This window comes from Homo sapiens, chromosome 14, assembly GCF_000001405.40.
Source record: "Homo sapiens chromosome 14, GRCh38.p14 Primary Assembly".
Taxonomy (NCBI): Eukaryota; Metazoa; Chordata; class Mammalia; order Primates; family Hominidae; genus Homo; species Homo sapiens.
Window position 1 is genome coordinate 36484974 of NC_000014.9, and position 18257 is coordinate 36503230.

At 36.5% G+C, this 18257-nt stretch overlaps 1 long non-coding RNA gene across 9 annotated transcripts in view; it reads right to left on the reverse strand.

Moving 5' to 3' along the window:
• Window positions 1-18257, reverse strand: part of SFTA3 (surfactant associated 3) — a 46269-nt gene that overhangs the window by 11686 nt on the left and 16326 nt on the right. For all 9 annotated transcript variants that reach the window (NR_161364.1, NR_161365.1, NR_138599.1 and 6 more), the window contains exon 2: window positions 6228-6318. This is a non-coding gene — a long non-coding RNA (surfactant associated 3). The remainder of the gene's footprint in view (window positions 1-6227; window positions 6319-18257) is intronic.

Consider the following 18257-nt stretch of genomic DNA (forward strand, 5'->3'; position numbering starts at 1 on the left):
AATCTGTAAGGCATTTTATCTCAGAGAGTGAGTACATAAGAGTTAGAGCATGTGTCTGTATGATTGAAAGATCCAAGTTCAGTCATGGCGGGCAGGGAAAGGAGGTATTTGAGTATTCTTCAGCACCCATGGGATGCCAGATTTAGAAAAAATAAAAATTAAAAATGTCCAATTACATTTGAATTTCTAATAAACAACTAACTTTTTTTAATATAGTATGTTACATTCAATATTTGAGACATATTTATACTAAAAATTTTTCATTATTTATCTGGAATTAAATTTAACTGAACATCCTGCATTTTTTCTGGCCAACCTACCCTAGGGGCTAATCCATAGGGCATCCCTGAGCCAGGCTCAGAGGATACTTCTTTGGTGCCATCCCTGGTAAGCCAAGAACTAGAACTGAGCTAAAATGAGAAAGTCTGAATTAAGTCCTTGGTTGTATACATACATCTTTTTTAAGTGTTTCATCATCTGCTTGGGCCTTTTGTCTTTGATTGAAAGTCTCTATAAACTGTGCCTGAATACCACAGCGTTAATCACAAGCCTCCTGAAGTATTTTCATATTGTGTGTAATAAATGCCCATATACTTAGGATTTAAAGTAACAACTACTCACCACAATATTTAGTTAAAATTACAAAGGGAGTACAAATTAAGCCATCATTTTGTTAAGGTGTATATTATAAGTCTTATTTAATTTCCCCATGTTCTTTGTGTATGTTTGTATAACTGTTGTGTCAAGACTTTCACTGATAAAGTATTTCAATTAGCTGCTAAAAGAATACATTGAAGGAGTTACAACTGATGTACATTTGGGCTAAATATCTATAATCAGAGTTGTTTCTCACCTGAGTCCCTCTTACTGATGTTATGTAACAAGCGGTCCTGATTGCTAGCAATAACTTGCTTAACATGTTCACATTTGTGTGATAATCACATAAAAATAAAATGACTCACTAATACATCAAAAAAGGAACTGATACTAGTTGTAGGCTAGATGAGTTATATGGTCACTTTATCATATCTGAAAGTCTCATTCCTAAGTCACTAGGATTTTTCAGACTCTTGTCACAGGACTGATTTGAGACCAGCTGAGAGACGAAATGACATTTGTGGGGGATGAGGGAAGCAATGAGAGAAACTGGTGAATGGAAGGCAGGGAATCAGCCCTTCATGCTCACCCACCCCCAAGCTTCCTGGGTAACCAGGGCTTATCACCTGGGTATAGTCTTATGGCCAAAAAGGACTAAAATGAACTGGAAAGTCAGGGCAGTCATGTAGTAATGAGCTTTGGTGCAGAGATGTACGGGGAAGTATAGTCCTCCTCATCCACCAGGGGACTTTTATGTCCTTGTGTGACTCCTGTGGTGATTATATCACTCTTTAACAATCTTCTAACATTATAATCATGAAATCATCATCAACATTTTTCCTCACAAGTTATTTATTCTCTACCACCTTCTTTCAAAGCTTCCTGATTTCACTTTATGGAAGAGACTAGAGAATCTCAAGATCTAATTCTATCCCACAACCTTTCTGTAAATCACTTTAATGTGATGTTCTAGAAAATTTATGGGACATATCTTTGTTAAAGAAAAGAGGTATTTCTTTGGTAAGGCAGCCAATTTCTCTTATTCATTGATCAGCATGAGACCTTTATTTAAAGCTTTTTGTGTGGGTATGACAGGGTCTTGCTCTATTACCCCGGCGGTCATGGCTCACTGCAGACTCCACCTCCTGGGCTCAAACAATCCTCCTGCCTCCACCTCCCATATTGCTAGAACTACAGGCATGCACCCCCACACCCCACTAATGTTTTGATTTCTTGTAGAAACAGGGTCTTACTTTGTTGCCCAGGCTGGTCTCTAATTCCTGGGCTCACGTGATTCTCCCACCTTGGCTTCCCAAAGTGCTGGAATTACAGGGGCGAGCCACCATGCCCAGCCTATTTAAAGCTTTAAGAAGAAAAATTTCACATTGCTCAACCTCATGACTTAAGCATGTCAACTCAAGGTATAGGTAAATCGTGCCTTTCCTACCACATCACCATGGGAAACCTGAAGTGGCCACTCTCACAGCCTTGCCTGTAGGACGCTAAAAGAATGAAATCTCCTGAAATTATTCCCACATCTTACATGTGTCCTGTTTATAAAAAATTCCAGGCTGGGTGTCATGGCTCACGCCTGTAATCCCAACACTTTGGGAGGCCAAGGCAGGCAGATCATCTGAAGTCAGGAGTTCGAGACCAGCCTGGCCAACATGGCAAAACCCCATCTCTACTAAAAATAGCAAAAAAACAAAACAACAACAAAAAATTAGCCAGGCAAGGTGGCACACGCCTGTAGTCCCAGCTACTTGGGAGGCTGAGGCAGGAGAATCGCTTGAATCCAGCAGGCAGAGGTTGCAGTGAGCTGAGATCATGCCACTGCACTCCAGCCCAGGTGACAAGAGGGAGACTCTGTCTCAAACAAAACAAAACAACAAAACAAAACAAAACAAAACAAACAAAACCCAGAAATTCCATCTCTCAGAATTTTGTGAAGAATAGTATTCTTTATCCTAGCTCTGCCCAAAATCATCTCCATGAGATAGTGGATTTATGAATGTGGTAAGAAAAATTCAGTGGACTCTAAGAAAGTTTCTTTATCAATGAGTTCACGTCCTTCGTAGGGACATGGATGAAGCTAGAAACCATCATTCTGAGCAAACTATCACAAGGACAGAAAACCAAACACCACATGTTCTCACTCATAGGTGGGGATTGAACAATGAGAACATTTGGACAGAGGGTGGGGAATGTCACACACCAGGGCCTGTCATGGGGTGGGGGGAGGGGGGAGGGATAGCATTAGGAGAAATACCTGATGTAAAAGACAAGTTAACGTTAACGGGTGCAGCACACCAATATGGCACATGGATACATATGTAACAAACCTGGATGTTGTGCACATGTACCCTAGAACCTAAAGTATAATAATAATAATAATAAAAGAGAAATTTCTTTATCCTGTTCGGAGCCTCCCTTGTCCAGTCCCATGTAATGTTCTTTATCCCTGATAAATGTAGCCAAGCACTTCCAAATACCTCGGGAAATGCAGAGGTTGAAGAGGGGGAAATCTTATTTTATCATTTAAGTTTTTAATATAATATTTTTGACTAGATAATGCAATCATATAGCTCAAGAATTAAAATGACATTAAAAGGTATACATTGAAAAGCTGTATTATGTTCCCTTTTCCTATCCACCCCACTAATCCCTAATGCCCCCTATAGGTTAGCACTTGCCCTGTTTTGCTCCAGGCTCTTCCAATGTTTTTATGTATGTACAAGCATTAATGCATATTTTTAATTCCTAGATTTCTTATACAAAAGCAACATACACCATATGTGTTCTGCAGCTTGATTGCTCATATAAAATATATCCCGCAGATCACTCCATGTCAGTACATAGGACTCATAAAATGTCCTTGTTGACAGGATGTTTCTTAACTCTTCCCATAACATACAATGCTGTAGTGAACAACTTGTCTATAAGTCCTTTCGTATGTCTGTAGGATAAATTTCCAGAATTGAGACTTCATAGAACTTTTATTAAATACCTCTGTTTTAATGCTTCTCAGAGTGGCTTGGGTTTGTTAGTGCTTCCTCCTCACCATGGTATACACTTCTGAAGGCATGAACTGTGTTTTATTCATCTTTGCACCCACAGGGGCTAACATAGTGCCTAGCATGTTAATGCTAAATACAAACCAAACTTCTAGTGTAACTGTAACCCTGAGAACATTCAAGTAACCCCTCAACGTAAAGGCTGAGATCTAGGTGTAGATTAAGAGGCACTTCCCAGTTTCTATTTCAAGATGAAAATAGGACTTATAAAGATAAAAGTATTGAATAAGGAGTCAAAGTTTCAAGGATGAGGCTATCTCTTCAAATCCGGGGACTGAGTCAATGTCGGGCAAATTTTCTGGGTTAATCACGCAGAGACAAACTAAATGGTAAAATAGAGAGGAAGCCTAGAGAACTCCTGCCTGCTGATGAGCAGCCACAGGTGACTGAGAACAGCACTTCCCTAAAAGCCAGGATGAGCTATGGAGAAAAGGTAAATGCGCACTTGGATTAGAATCTGAGCAGAGATGGAGAGTGTGCCAGAGAAAGCAAGGGTGCACATGGTGCTAATATAGCTGCTTCTCCACTCTCACGACAGCCTATGGGAGTGGCTCCTGGTTTTGCTCTTCTGCCCTCACTCTTGTCAGGAAGGCTTTTAGGAAGTGACCTTGGTGAAAACTCAGGCCCAGTCCCAAACCGATGGCAGCCGTACTTCCTTAGCTATTTCTCTCCTCATCCCAGTGCTGCTCCTCCCAGCCACAGCTGCTATTTGAACACATAAGGCCATAGGAGGATTCTTTCCCTGAGATCATCACTCAGCCTCCCGGCTGCCACTGAACTCTGTTTAGCCAAGTTTGAAGACATGGACTAGAAGGCAGATGTGTCACACACAGAACTCATGTCAGTCCTCGTCAAAATCCTCACGTCTCAAAAATTGTCAGTGAAAAATAAATGGTTACATTTTCTTATGTCAGTAATGTGGCAATATAATTTAAAAATTGCAAATGTGTTTTTATCTAGCAATTCTACTTCAAGGAATTGATTCTGCAAGTACACTTACAGAAGAACAAAAAAAACTATACATATGTTTGCTGAAGTATTATTTGTAAAAGCAAAGAAATTAAAAATTACCTACATATCTATCAACATGGTAGTGGCTATATCTATAATACTATATTATGTAATATCTTTTGCAGCTCTAGAAGAATGAGATAAACCCATGTGTAGGGCATGGAGCAACAGCCACATACACTGAGGTGAATAAAAACAAGTTTAAAATAGTAAATATATTGTATGATTTTATTTGTGATTTAAAAGATGATGTGCTTGCGTATGAATTTTTTTAATTTGGTAAAAATACATGAGAGACTATTATGGCCACCACTGGGGAATGGGATTGAGGAGACTAGGGCAAAAGAAAGGAACAACGTTTTATTTTTTTAATTTCATATCCTTTTTGTATTGCCTTTGAGAATTAAAAAGTTCACTTGCAGCCCATATATTGTTTCTAAGATTCCTGTGGTATATAGATTATGTAGGATTTGGTGATTTTCTTTTTTTGAGACAGGGTCTCATTCTGTCACCAAGCCTGCAGTGCAGTGGCATGATCACAGCCCACTGCAGCCTCGACGTCTGAGGCTCAGGAGATCCTTCCACTTCAGACTCCCAGGTAGCTGGACTACAGGTGTGCACCACCATGCCCAGCTAACGGTCATACTATGTTGCCCAAGCTGGTCTTGAACTCCTGGGCTCAAGTGACCTGCCTGCCTCGGCCTCCTAAAGTTTTGAGATTACAGGTGTGCATCACTATGCCCAGCCCTAGTGATTGTTTTTTGTCTTTTTTTTTTCCCCCGAGACAGTTTCGCTCTTGTTGCCCAGGCTGGAGTGCAATGGTGCAATCTCCGCTCACTGCAACCTCCACCTCCCGGGTTCAAGCAATTCTGCCTCAGCCTCCCAAGTAGGTGGGATTACAAGCGCCTGCCACCATGCCCAGATAATTTTTGTATTTTTAGTAGAGACGGGGCTTTGCCACGTTGGCCAGGCTAGTCTCGAACTCCTGACCTCAGGTGATCTGCCCACCTTGGCCTCCCAAAGTGCTAGGATTACAGGCATGAGTCACTGTGCCCGGCCCCTAGTGATCATTTTTTAATCAGAATAGCTATCGCTTAAAAAAAAAAAAAAACAAACTTTAAAAAGGTTCTTCTTGGCTGAGTAAAACATCTATGGTTGACCTTAATTGAGGTTCACAGAACCAACTTCAGCTTTGTGGACATATGCTCAAAACCCGACTCACACAGAAAGCCTAGTATAATTTTCCGTGATTACAAAAATCAATGTGTTGAGTCTTCAGACTATTGATTATGTTGTCAACAATTTTAATAACACCCTTGACCACCCACAAACTTCCATTTGTCACTTACCTGAACACATCTTTTAAGGAATGCTTTTTAGTTCTTATGTTGCATTTCCTGCAAAATCTCCCATGCGGTGGACTTATGAATCATGAAAAAAATTTGTCATATTTTACAAGGTCAGAGAGAAGTAAAGAAGAAAAGGCGATCCCATATTATGCAAGTGTCCTGTTGCTAAAGAAAACACTGCTCAGGGCAGACTTACACAAAGTGGTAGATTCTGATACTGGGTTTTCAAATCCTGATAATTGGAGCCATTCAGTCAGTCTCTGTGCCTGATCCTGAAGAAAAAGAACCTGAGACGAAAAGCAAGAAGATGAGAAAATGTTAAGACAATAAAAAACATTTGGCAAATGCAATTGGCAGTAGACTCAACATACATTCTCTTGAGGCAAAGCTTTAATGAAGCAGCTCAAAAGTAGCAGAATATTGTTTGGAACACCAATTTCCAGGTCACCTACCTTCTCCAAGACTTTCTGTTGCTAAGATGATGATGTCTTTTGTTACTATAATTTAACAAAGTTTTCCAGTATCAAAAAGTTTTAGCAATTTGCCTTTCTGCAGTGCAGGAAAAAGAAAAGCTGTAGGATGTGCAATGTTTATTCAATTGCCTTGTTGTTTTATTGCTCTTCTTTCTGGAATAGTATTTTGGGTTTGCAAATGTAGAAAAACCTATATTTTCCTGGTATAGACCTGTGAGGACAGGTCTACCATATAAGCCAATAGACAGACATATCAAGCAAGCTGATAGTTCATCTTGCTGTAATTAACCAGATATAGTTTATGGAAGTGATTTAAGCCTAAAATTCACAAACAACCTCATGAAATTTTCAGAACCAATGTTTGCTTTTGGGGTTAGCCTCAAAACCTTTAAGAGCTTCCACTTCACAGCCAAATGCTAAAGCACAATAGTCATGGGAATAAGGCAAGGGAGATTAAATGATCAGTAAATGAGGAAGAAACAACAGAGAAAAATAGAGAAAGAGAAAGCAGTGATGTAGCAATAAGGAGAGGCTTACATGCCTAGTTCACTTATTATGAGACAATTCATCTTCTACAATAATAAAAAATGATTGTAGCCTTCCAAGAAAAGTTGCTTCTTCAAAATGAGTAGGTTCTAAGCATGTTTGGTAATTTAATTTCAAATAGATGTGTTGGTATAATTTGGGGTTTTAAGGCACTAGCCCTCAATATTTAGATCTTGGTCTCCAGAAATAAATTATCGTGACAACTAACATGAAGGCCAATGTATACTGGCCCCAATTATTGGAATGGTATGGATGAATGTGTATTTTTAAACTCAATTATCCAGGTAACTTGCACATAAATATACCAAACCAAAGACCACAGGGTGGGATACTGCCTCAACTTCATTTTAGTACAGATTGTTTTCTCCTTTGAACCACTAATCAACTTTACTATGTGCAGTTTCTACAATATAAGGCTATTTTCCTCAACATCTTAGCATCATAGTATCCTCTCATCAGAATATTGGTTAGGTTCCCTAGTGTGAATCACTTATCCAGTTGCTTGCCTGATTATTCGCATGTTTTTGAGATTTGTGAAATGTAGCAGATAAACAGGTTTATGCTGTGTGCATCTTGGAGGGCAGCCAATGTCTGTCTGCCTATACAGTATATTTACTCTCCCTCCTCAAATCTCTCTCCCATACAGAGAAGCTGTATTTTAAGACTAAAATCAGTGTAGAATGCAATCCAGTAATGTCACTGCAGAAAACAGCAGGTGCTCATCCACTCATTTGCAGTGATTCTTGCAGTGAAGAAAGTGAATCAATGATTCATCTAATGGACAAAGAAACGCCACAGTGAACATTTGGAAAAACCAAATGAGAGAAAGGAACATTCTTTTATAAAGGTGGGCTCTGATTTTGGAAAGCAAAACCTCCCACATGAAAATCAGGAATTTTGTTGTGTTCTGGTTGTAACTGCAGTAAGCAATGGCTTGTTCCCTCTCTCCCTGCTTCCTCTGTTTTATTGCTTTTGTGTTGCACTTCTAAAATAAATATCAATAAATCATTGCAGTTAGATACTCTAATATAGACAGAAATGTACTTGACTCCCTACAGTCATTACAATTGGAGGGGACTCTGATTAGGATGCTTTACTTAATTAAGTGATATCGTCTAAAGAGAGTTCTTCCCTCCATTTTCTGTTTAACAGTCTTACAAAACACCAACAGAGGAAATTCATTCTGTTGTTTGCTTTTCTTATTGTAAATGGTTTCTCCTCATTCATATTTTGCAGAAGATGATGTCGTGTTAATGAAATGGCTAATAAGCCAAAGACTGTGGTTCAGCTACACACAGAGTCTTGTTCAAATCAGCCCAGGCTACATAGACTGAAAACATTTTCACCCCATCTCAAAAATGTATTTTTAAATTTATTTTTACAACATCTGTAACCTAAAATTAAGAAGATCCAAAAGAAAGTCTTTTCTGAAAAGTCACATTTCACCTACTTTATGTATGGTTCAGCGGAGACCTTAAAAATCTGTTTCTTTGAGAAAACAGAAAAAAATGGACAAAGAATAAGCAATCCTTATGCATTAAATGTTATTTGTGAGGCATTTTGATTTTACTGAAAGAAGTCATTAAATTTGGATTGCCAATACAAATATGATTATATATGTTTTCTAAATAAAATGTTATTATGTTGTAACTGAACTCATCCATTTATTGTTTGTTTACCTAGTGCTCAAATGCATGTTTTATTCATAGATGTCTGGGAGAAAAAAATTTGCTTGATAATCACACCAAGCATATTTAACAAAAGCGATTCTCCTTTTATTAGTGAACAGGTTTAAGCAGAATGATTTCATTTTTTTCCCCATTTAGTTAATTCAGACTTGCAGGATCCTTAGCTTACAGCTTTTGTTTCTCCTCCCGCTGCCTTTTATGCCTTTAATGTATGCATGCCTATCCACTGATGGGAAAATATCATTTCCTGAAACTCTTCCTTTTTTCCTTCTTGACTACTCTCTCCGTTGATCTCTAGCTTTGGTTAGTTTTCACTAGTTAGTTCTGTCAAATCACTGTATGTACAAGACAGATAAATTGAAGCCAAGCAAATAGTTAATTATCCTGTTGAAAAATTTAAACTCTCTTTCCTTAGAGTGAATTGGAATTCTAATTTGCTCATTCCTTTAACAAACAAATAATATATTTATATATTTAAAGCAATTAAAAAGTGTATAGGACAGAAAGTCATAAAGTGAAGATTTATTAATATCTATGAAATTTTTATTACCAGAACATTTTAACAAAATATTTGCAACTTTAACAAATTAACAATTGCCTTGTATTGAATTTAGCAACTTTATTTCTGTCTATTAAAAAGCAACATTAAATGTAAACACTCTCTTAAATGAACTCAACCAGCTTACAATAGATTATTTTCACCTTAATACAACATGCAGCTAAAAGCAATTAATAAACTGTAAAATTTAAATGCATGTCTCAAGATATAAAAGTGAATATTCATGAATCAGATGCAAGGGGTTTATAATTAATTGCTAAATTATTAAAAGAACATTTTATAACAGCTAGAAATCTGAATTATTTGAATTATTTAATAGCTTGGTCATTTATCAAACAAAATAATAATAGCAACAATAATACATAATTGCCAAATGAGTTAATTAATGTTGTTTGACTCTAAGATTTTGTCTTGTCTTGTTTTAACTGCGTACCATCCTGCTTAAAAATGTTTCCTTAAGCTGGATACACTCCGAAGTTACATAATTTTTCTTAATCTGGAAGTTAAGAAAATCACAGAAGAATAGTAAAACAATGTGCCTGCTCAACATGTTACCCAAAGTGAATTCCAGAAGTTGTTCATAATTGCTTTTATTATTTTTAAAAGATGTCCTTTATTAAAAATTAGCCTCATCTTAGTTTTAAAGTTCGTTCAATGTTAGTTTTTTCCCCCTGGTTTTGTAATCTAGATAATTTTAACAACTAAAAGCTTAGTTAGCCTACTCTCTGTTAAGCAAACTTCTTTATAGATTTTCTTTAAGCTTTTCATTTTAAAAGGTGCCTTTGTCCTGAAACTAAACATATGACACTCCTGTCCCCTAAGAAAATTTTTGAGAAATTGAATAACAGCAAGTAAATCCGATAGAGAATTTTTATCCCATTCCTGCTGTTTACTTATTTTAAAATAATTGTTTAAAGATGAAGAATGTGTCTTTTTTCTTAAGTCTTTAAAAAGAATGAGAATTGTGTCTAATAAACCACTACTGAAGTTAGAATAGCCACTGAATTATTATCTGGCAGAAGAATGTGAGTTCTATTTTGCCTGAACCAATTATCTTTATCAAATGACTTTTCTACCTAAATTGTTTGCTTAAGATATTATAGATATGCAGAGTTATTGTAATATGCATTTTTAGGCCATTATTATTTAAATTCCTATAAATCAAACTAGATGTAACAGAGCCAATTTCAGGTTATTTGTTGAAACTGCTTTTCTTTGGAGCAGTTAACATTTGGAGCTAATGCTTCAATCCTAACAGGCAAATATATCAAATGTTTAAAATATAAACACAAATATTATTGCCTTTAATAGGCTATTTAGTAAGAAAAAGATTTACATCCTAACATGGGCTTTTTTCTGTGTTTGTAAGATGAGTGCTCTAAATAAAGTATTTGTCATCAAAGCTGTCTGTGTAAATTAGTAGAAAGAGTAACTTTCCTAAAGAGAACCTAGCTAAGAGACACCTCTTGCAATGGAAGTAGATCAAATCTGTTCAAAGAAAAGGTCAAAGAAAATTTATTGCTAGTGTGAAGACAGTTTCTTGAAACTATTTTTTTTCTACAGAAACCGAGTATTCAAGAAAGACAATATTTAGCAATGGGCTTTTGAGGGTTGGGAGGAGAAAAACATCTTGTGTGATGTAAAGGGAGAAAACATACAGACCACAACGAAATAAACAAACATTTTCTTTTGGCAAGAGATGACTGCAGAGTTGAAAGAGTAAATTACTTCCATCAGCGAGTTGTACCTTATAAATTTAGGAGAATGGATCATCAACTCATTTGGAGGACAATTCTCTTTTTAATAGCAACAGTTTCACAGCTAGTTTTGTCTCTAAAAAGGATACCTGCTAGACATCCATAAATTAGCTTTTAAGAGGAAGCAAAACTTGATGACAAACTATTGTCAAGTTGTATATATTTCTGATTCAAGTTAAACATATTTTTAACAAACTGTCTTATGAATCTGTTTTGAAGCACTTCAGCGGCCCAGAGGGAGCTCTACCTTTAATATACAGACAAGGTAACAAAGACTGTCAAAAAAAGGAAAAAAAAAAAGTAAGATGCAGGGAAGAAAAAAAAGGAAACAAATGTCTATAAGGAACAAATTACAAACTTAACAAAAATATGACAAAAGCAATATAATATTTTCTCCTAGTAGAACAATTAGTGAGTATAATAAATGAAACTAAAGCAAAACTTTTCTGGGTTGAACCAGGCATTGAATGAATTGTAGAAACAGAATAGTGTTAAATATTGTATATTCGTTTAAAACATTTATGACGTAGGTGTTAATGCAGTTAATTTAGTTCAGTGTTCTGTTAATATGAAAACTGCTATAATGTAGTACTTCGTTATTTATAGTGTACTAATTAATCATTCATAATATAATGGTTTACCCAGGAAAAGCTCAGTTATCTTTCACAAGTACGACAGCCATATATAAAACATGTAATAATTCAAATTCATGCCCTTAATATTATTCTTAAAAATCAGTATTCTTCTCAGGTTCAAATACAGATAAAATTAAAACAAAACAAAAAAAGGTAACTAAGATTGTCCCCCTTAAAGTGCAAGTAGAACAGCCTTTGGGGATTTTCAAGATCTTATTTTCATAACAGTAACTTGAAAATAATTATTAGAAAGCACTGTTAAAAAGCATCATATATTTTTGATGAGTCAAATATTTATTTCCAGTCCTTTTTGCATCAAGACTGTGGGAAATGTGTATTATGAAGATCAGATGGTGCACTGATGTGAGAAATGTTGCAAAGCATCCTGTTGATTTGTTCTAATTAACTGCAATGCTCTTGTGTTCTCAGTTTTAGCCGGCATACACCACACAATGCCTTTTATTTTGCTTTGAATGGATTTTTACTTAAAAACAGCTGATCTCAGTAACCACAGTATTTGGGGATTTTTTATTTTTGTGAATTTCCCTGCAATGTTTTCTTTTCAATTTTAAAAGAAAAATTTGAAAATATTTCTAAATCATAAAGTATAACCAGTTAAATTACCAGCAATCATGTGGTCTTCCACATGTATTTTGCATGTTCTGTAGTATGTGACTATATTCTCAAACTACATTTCAATTCCTCTTTAAAAGTTATATATCTGAGCAGTGGTTTAAGCAGAAAATTCTGAAAAGCAATTTAGAACACACCGCTAATTTTTTATTTTTGTAATCAGACTGTTAAGTAGAACAGAGCTAAAACCTGGGACCATGAGCAAGGAATGAGAAGGATTCCAGAATAAAAGTATCAAATAAAATTCTTTGCACTCACCTTTCTCTGATGATTTAAACTCAAGCAGCTCTGACAGAGAGAAGTCATGAATTTTCATCAACTTCACACATGTCATACATTTAAAAACATTTTGATTTGCCCTGGGACCCCTGTATGTCTCTGAAGCATAGTAATAGTGCTGGGATGTTTTCTAGGTACAAACCCTATAAACTCCCAGGGCTCTAGAAGATACATTACTAATGTAAACAGGCCCTTAAGTGGAAAAAAAATTAAATAACAGGAAATTTCCAAAGAAATGCAGAATTTAAATGAAGGAGGCTATTTTTAGAAGCAGCACCCTTTCTATGATTTTAATGGTCACAATTGTATCCACACACTAGCTTTTGGAGAACATGCAGTTATTTGTCTCGAGAAATAGAATCATTTTGGACAGGAAAATCTATAATCTAAAAATTAGAGCTAAATCATTCATTAGCCTAGTAGACCTTAAAAGTGATTAAATAGTCTTCTTTTTGTTCGTGTAAGGATAAAATGTGACTCGTGAGCAGTCCAGCGTTTCAAAATGGCTACCAACATCCTTACTCTTTCCAGGAGAAAGGCTAACTGTATAAAGTGGAGTAGAGTCAACATAGAGTTTTACCCCACGTAACACCTCTAAAGGTTATCTTCCAAATATTTGTCCCTCTTAAAATTGTAAAAAAAAAAAAAAAAAAAAAAAAAAAAAAAAATCATTAAGATGGGGTAAGAAATAAACATTAGGAGAGATTAATAAGTGCAAACAAAGCTGCCAATATAAAATGATATAAATAAAGTGCCATTACAAATAATTTACATTGTGCCCCTCATTTTACAACCGAGGAAACGGAGGCTAAAAGAGGTAAAGTGACTTTCCCAAGGTCTTACAAAGACGAAGGTGTAAAGTTAAACTACAGGCAAGTCTCTTGAGTGCTGGCAATACCCTTTCTACAATACTACACAGTCTTTCTTTTGTTAAACGCAGTAACAAAAATGTCCTCAGGTGGGTGTCAGTCATATAGTTAAGCAAAACAAAGTATGTATGTAAAAGGTATGTGCAGGTCTTACCAAATTAATTGGCCATCTTTACACAGTGTAAAGTCTTTTTCTTTAAAAAGATGTTTCTTTGGAGAATATCTTTATGCCTTCATTCTTGCCAGGCTTTGAGGATTTGTATCTATTTAATGAAAGGTGGTTCTCTTTAGCACACTTACACCAAGCATGCAGGTGAAAACCATCACCATATAGTCTCACTGTCACTAGTTTGCCCCTATTTCCATTCCATTCTTCACTCTGCTGACTGCCTGGCCTTTCTAAAATGCACATCTGATGATGTTTGAGTTTTTTTCAATGGCTTTCCATGTGCTACATAAGGTAAAATCTACACTTCTTAGGCTGGCATTCAGGGGTCTTTGAAATGTTTAGCCTGTACCACCCCTTCAGTTTCACTTCTAACACTCTCCTCACATTTTATATTCTGGCAATGCAAGCTAGGAATGATTCCCTGAACATGATATGCCTCCTCATTGCCCCTGGGCCTTTGTGCATGCTGTTCCCTCCACCTGCAATGCCTGATAAAATCCTACTCCTCCTTGAAGAGTGAGCTCAAGCACCACCTTTTCTCCTCCTGCCAAATATAAATACTTCTGGGATTCCACGGCATCTTGCACAGACCTCACGTTGCTCCACCCATTGCATTGAACTGTAAATGTCTATTTACATGCCTATCTCTCCACACACATTATCTTTGAGGTTAAAGACATATCTTTCCCTCCATGCCTAGTACTTTGCCTGGTGTAAACATTGAGTGGATGTTTACTGACTAAATAAATGAATCAATGTAAAGAGACCACCAATTTTGTTTTGTTATTACAAAATCTGTAAGCCTTGGGGTGACATCCCTCAGTTCTTTTTTATAATATCTAAAGTGAGTGCACATGACAAAAGAATATTTTTACCAACCTCTTTTTAAGGTTTCTATTATATTAACTGTTGCCTACAAGTACAATTTTTAAATCACTCTTGCTTTATAGTGAATTGACTTGACTTTGGCATCAAATTGGTAGCGAAATATAAATTGGTATCTTCATGTGAATGAAGAGGAGAATTCTCAGGTAAACAGTGGGCCACTGCTGTTGCAGATGTTGGTAAAGAGAATTGCCTTTTACGGCTCCATTTCTTATTAGGAACACAAGTTACAGGATAACCTGCAACCCATTAAGACTGTAAATGCATATTTGGGTATAAACATGAAGTGGTATCAGAATTTTTATGCCAAGTGAGTGCTTTAAAAGAGAATTTTTTTTTTTTATTAGAGGCGGGGTCCCAGGCTACCGTGCATTGGCGATTCACAGGTGTGATCACAGTGCACTGCAGACTTGAACTCCTAGGCTCAAACAATCCTCCTGCCTCGTCTCAGCCTCCCAAGTGCCTGGGACTACAGGTGTGTGCCACCATGACTGGCTGAGAATTTTTTGTTTTAAACTAGTGGAACTTAGATTTCAGATTTAGCTTATTTGAGGTTCAATTGCTGTTTGACTCTGTCCAGTCTTCTGCATTTTGCTGAACAGGCACTGCCAATGATGCAAATGTCTTCTAAAGGAGCCTGCTCAGCTGAAGCCAGGGATGCCCTTGATACAAAAACACACTTTCCACTTGCAATGATACCCTCATATTTACTGGTAAAATAATTCACATTTAAAATTAAAAAGATTTTGCCAGCATATTCTTCCCCTAACATGTAGATAATCTTGAGCCAGGCCCCCAAGTCAATGAAGAGATGCTTCAGTTGTTTGGGTTACTATAAGGCACAGGGCATCTCAATCCAGAAGCCACTTCCAATCTTATGATTCTCCCCGCCTGACTCCATGCCATTGGCTCCATTGTGCCCCAAGGCTATAGCCCCAACTCACATGTGAGGAATGTTCACCAAGGGACAGCAATTAGGAGGACAGTAATAGTAGACATTGCTCTTGTGTAATGGGTTCCCCTTGGTCATCAGATCACCTCTACAGAGCAGCCCTGTGTGGCATTATCATTAACAATCAACGCTGGTTTTTAAATTCTTTTCTGGTAGATAAAAAGAAATTGTCAATTCCCACCTCTACTCCTTATAGAATGATCATTTGTGAACCCCTCATCATTTTAGAAGATGGTTACCCTTTAGAATCTTAAAAGTCTTGAATGGTGGGTGTGTTAGGAAAGTTTAAGTCTGGAATGTAGAAAGAGATGAACTCTAAGGATTTTCTAAGTTATTAATTGTTAGAATTCATTTTGTGTTGTATCTGGGATTTTGTTTGTTTTAAACAGTACAGCATCACCTCACATAGTTTTAATTTATGTAGCCAGGGAAATATAAAAGACACTTCTTTTACTAACTAACAAAGAATTGTCCCTCTTTTCTGTCATTTTTGAATCAAACTGACCTAGACTTTTAATAATTTTTGTTTACATAAAAAGAAGAAAAATGCTAATAATACTTCCTTACTTTTATATTTTGCATATCGGAAAGGATTACAACAAGAGAAGTACTGAAAAATGTTTTCTAAATTCATTGATTCAGAAAATATTTACTGAGCAAATATTATGTACCAGGCTCTATAACAAGGTACTAACAGCAGATTTACAGCAGATAAAGAGAGAAAGAATATGGTTGTTTACAGCTCTAAATTTAAGAATGTAAAATGTGACCACCTATCAAATCACATAGTCTTGGAATTTCCTTCTGTGTACTTGCTCTCTGCTCTCTTAAAAGAAAAAACTTTATTCTTATTCATTAGGATAAGTTTCAACTTTATAACTTAGTAAGAAAAAGTATATCTATGTCTCCAACTCAGGTGGGGCCATTTGAAGTTCTTCATAAATGTATAAAAAGACAAGGGCTTTGGTTTTCTTGTAGGTCTGAAATGAATCCATTACATTAAAATGACTTTTAGTAACAAGAGCAAGTAATGATTTGTATTATAAGTTAATAAAATGGGGGTTTAGGCATATTTGTACAATAAGGTCTTTTTAAATTCACTTGTATAGACATTCCCTCTCACTCCTGCTTAAATGAACTTGGAAGATTGTTCATCATTCAGTATTGTTTAAATTACAAGGCACAAATCTGTCATCTGATTTTAAAATATTTTTCTCCCTTGGTAATGTAGATGACTAATGTCTATCTTTATTCTTCAAGGAATATGATAATGTGATAACATAATTTGGGGAAAATTAGTTTTTTAATATCTCACATCTAAAGACCCCTTGGCATATTAGAAAATATATTATTCTTCTAAAAATACATTTTGCTAGCCCTCCTGGCCACTCATACTTCGATAAACTGTGCCTTTCTTTTCTGTTCAAAAAGTGCCACAAGGCCTCTCATACAAGCCAGTCCCTTTCACTGATGAAACCAGCCTACTTTCCATGGTATCTAATAATAAATGTTACGGCTTTGCCTTTAGTGATGGTAGTTCATTTTAGATCCCCAAACCACTTCCAATGTAAGAGTATGAGAAAAGAGCCTATCTACCAACAAAGGGAACCCAGGATGCCTTGTCTCAGCCTTACAATTCTTTTATGTTACATTCCCAGATTTTACGTCCTCAAGAACACAACACTAATATTTGAGAGAGATGTGTTTTGCTTTTACAATGCCCCTGTATGCAAGATACCTGCTTGTTTTAATTTGAAGAAGAAAAAAACTATGTTTATCTAATTTCAATTTCACATTACTCTGAAAATTGAGTACCTAAATCTTATCCATGTAGTAATAATTTCTCTATTGGAGTAATTGTTAAAAGCCAGAAGTTTGCTCTGTCGAAAAAAAGTGATAGTCCTCCAAATTTCATTGAAAGCTCTTGATTTTTTCCCCTTATTATTGTCTGATAAGGGAAACTCTTCCTGATTTTTGTTCCCTATTAGTAATGAGAATCCCACTTCTATTTGTGACGGTTTTCAAAACTAGAACTATCAAGTAATGCGCTTAAACTTACTTTCCAAGGAAACTGAGTGAGAGCTCCTATACCTAAGTCACCTCTTATCATTCCCCTCCTTGCCCTTCCCAGAATGAATTCCCCCAGTGATTTATTATATGAGATAGCCGACTTAGAGATGGGGCTGACTGGTGGACCTGCCCACTGCCACTGAAGTTTTCCTCATACACTTTACATGCTCCCACAGGATTTCATGAGTGATTCACTCCTCTCCATGTCTCCTGGCAGCTAAATGGGAATATTGGAGAGCTGCCAGAGGGGTAGGTAGCCAACCTGCTTGCCCTTAATTGTGCCTGCCAGCTTTTTAATAACAGAAGTAGGGTCAAGTAAGTGAAATCATGAACTGAGGAGAGTATTCTGAGAATGCAAAGGCAGTTAATGTCCTTCCAAGCCTCAGATGGCTGGCAACCCTTGGCAGAGTAATCTATGATTTGTGGCACCTGACCCTTCCACTGTGACTGTTATCTGTGTATTCACTAGAAACATATTTACAGAATCTCTCCATTAGCAAAGATGCCTTGTGTGTGATTACCCAATTGTCATGGTCACACTAGGGTTTTGATACAGTTCCTATTCACAAATGAAAAACTGCACTAAACTACACACAGAATTGGTTTGAAGCAGGAATCCTCAATCAAGAGACCAAGACTTCTGGTAAATCTCAAAGAGATTATTACACCACGGCCTTGCTCCCCTTCCTCTCTAAAACTCCTTTCCCACCT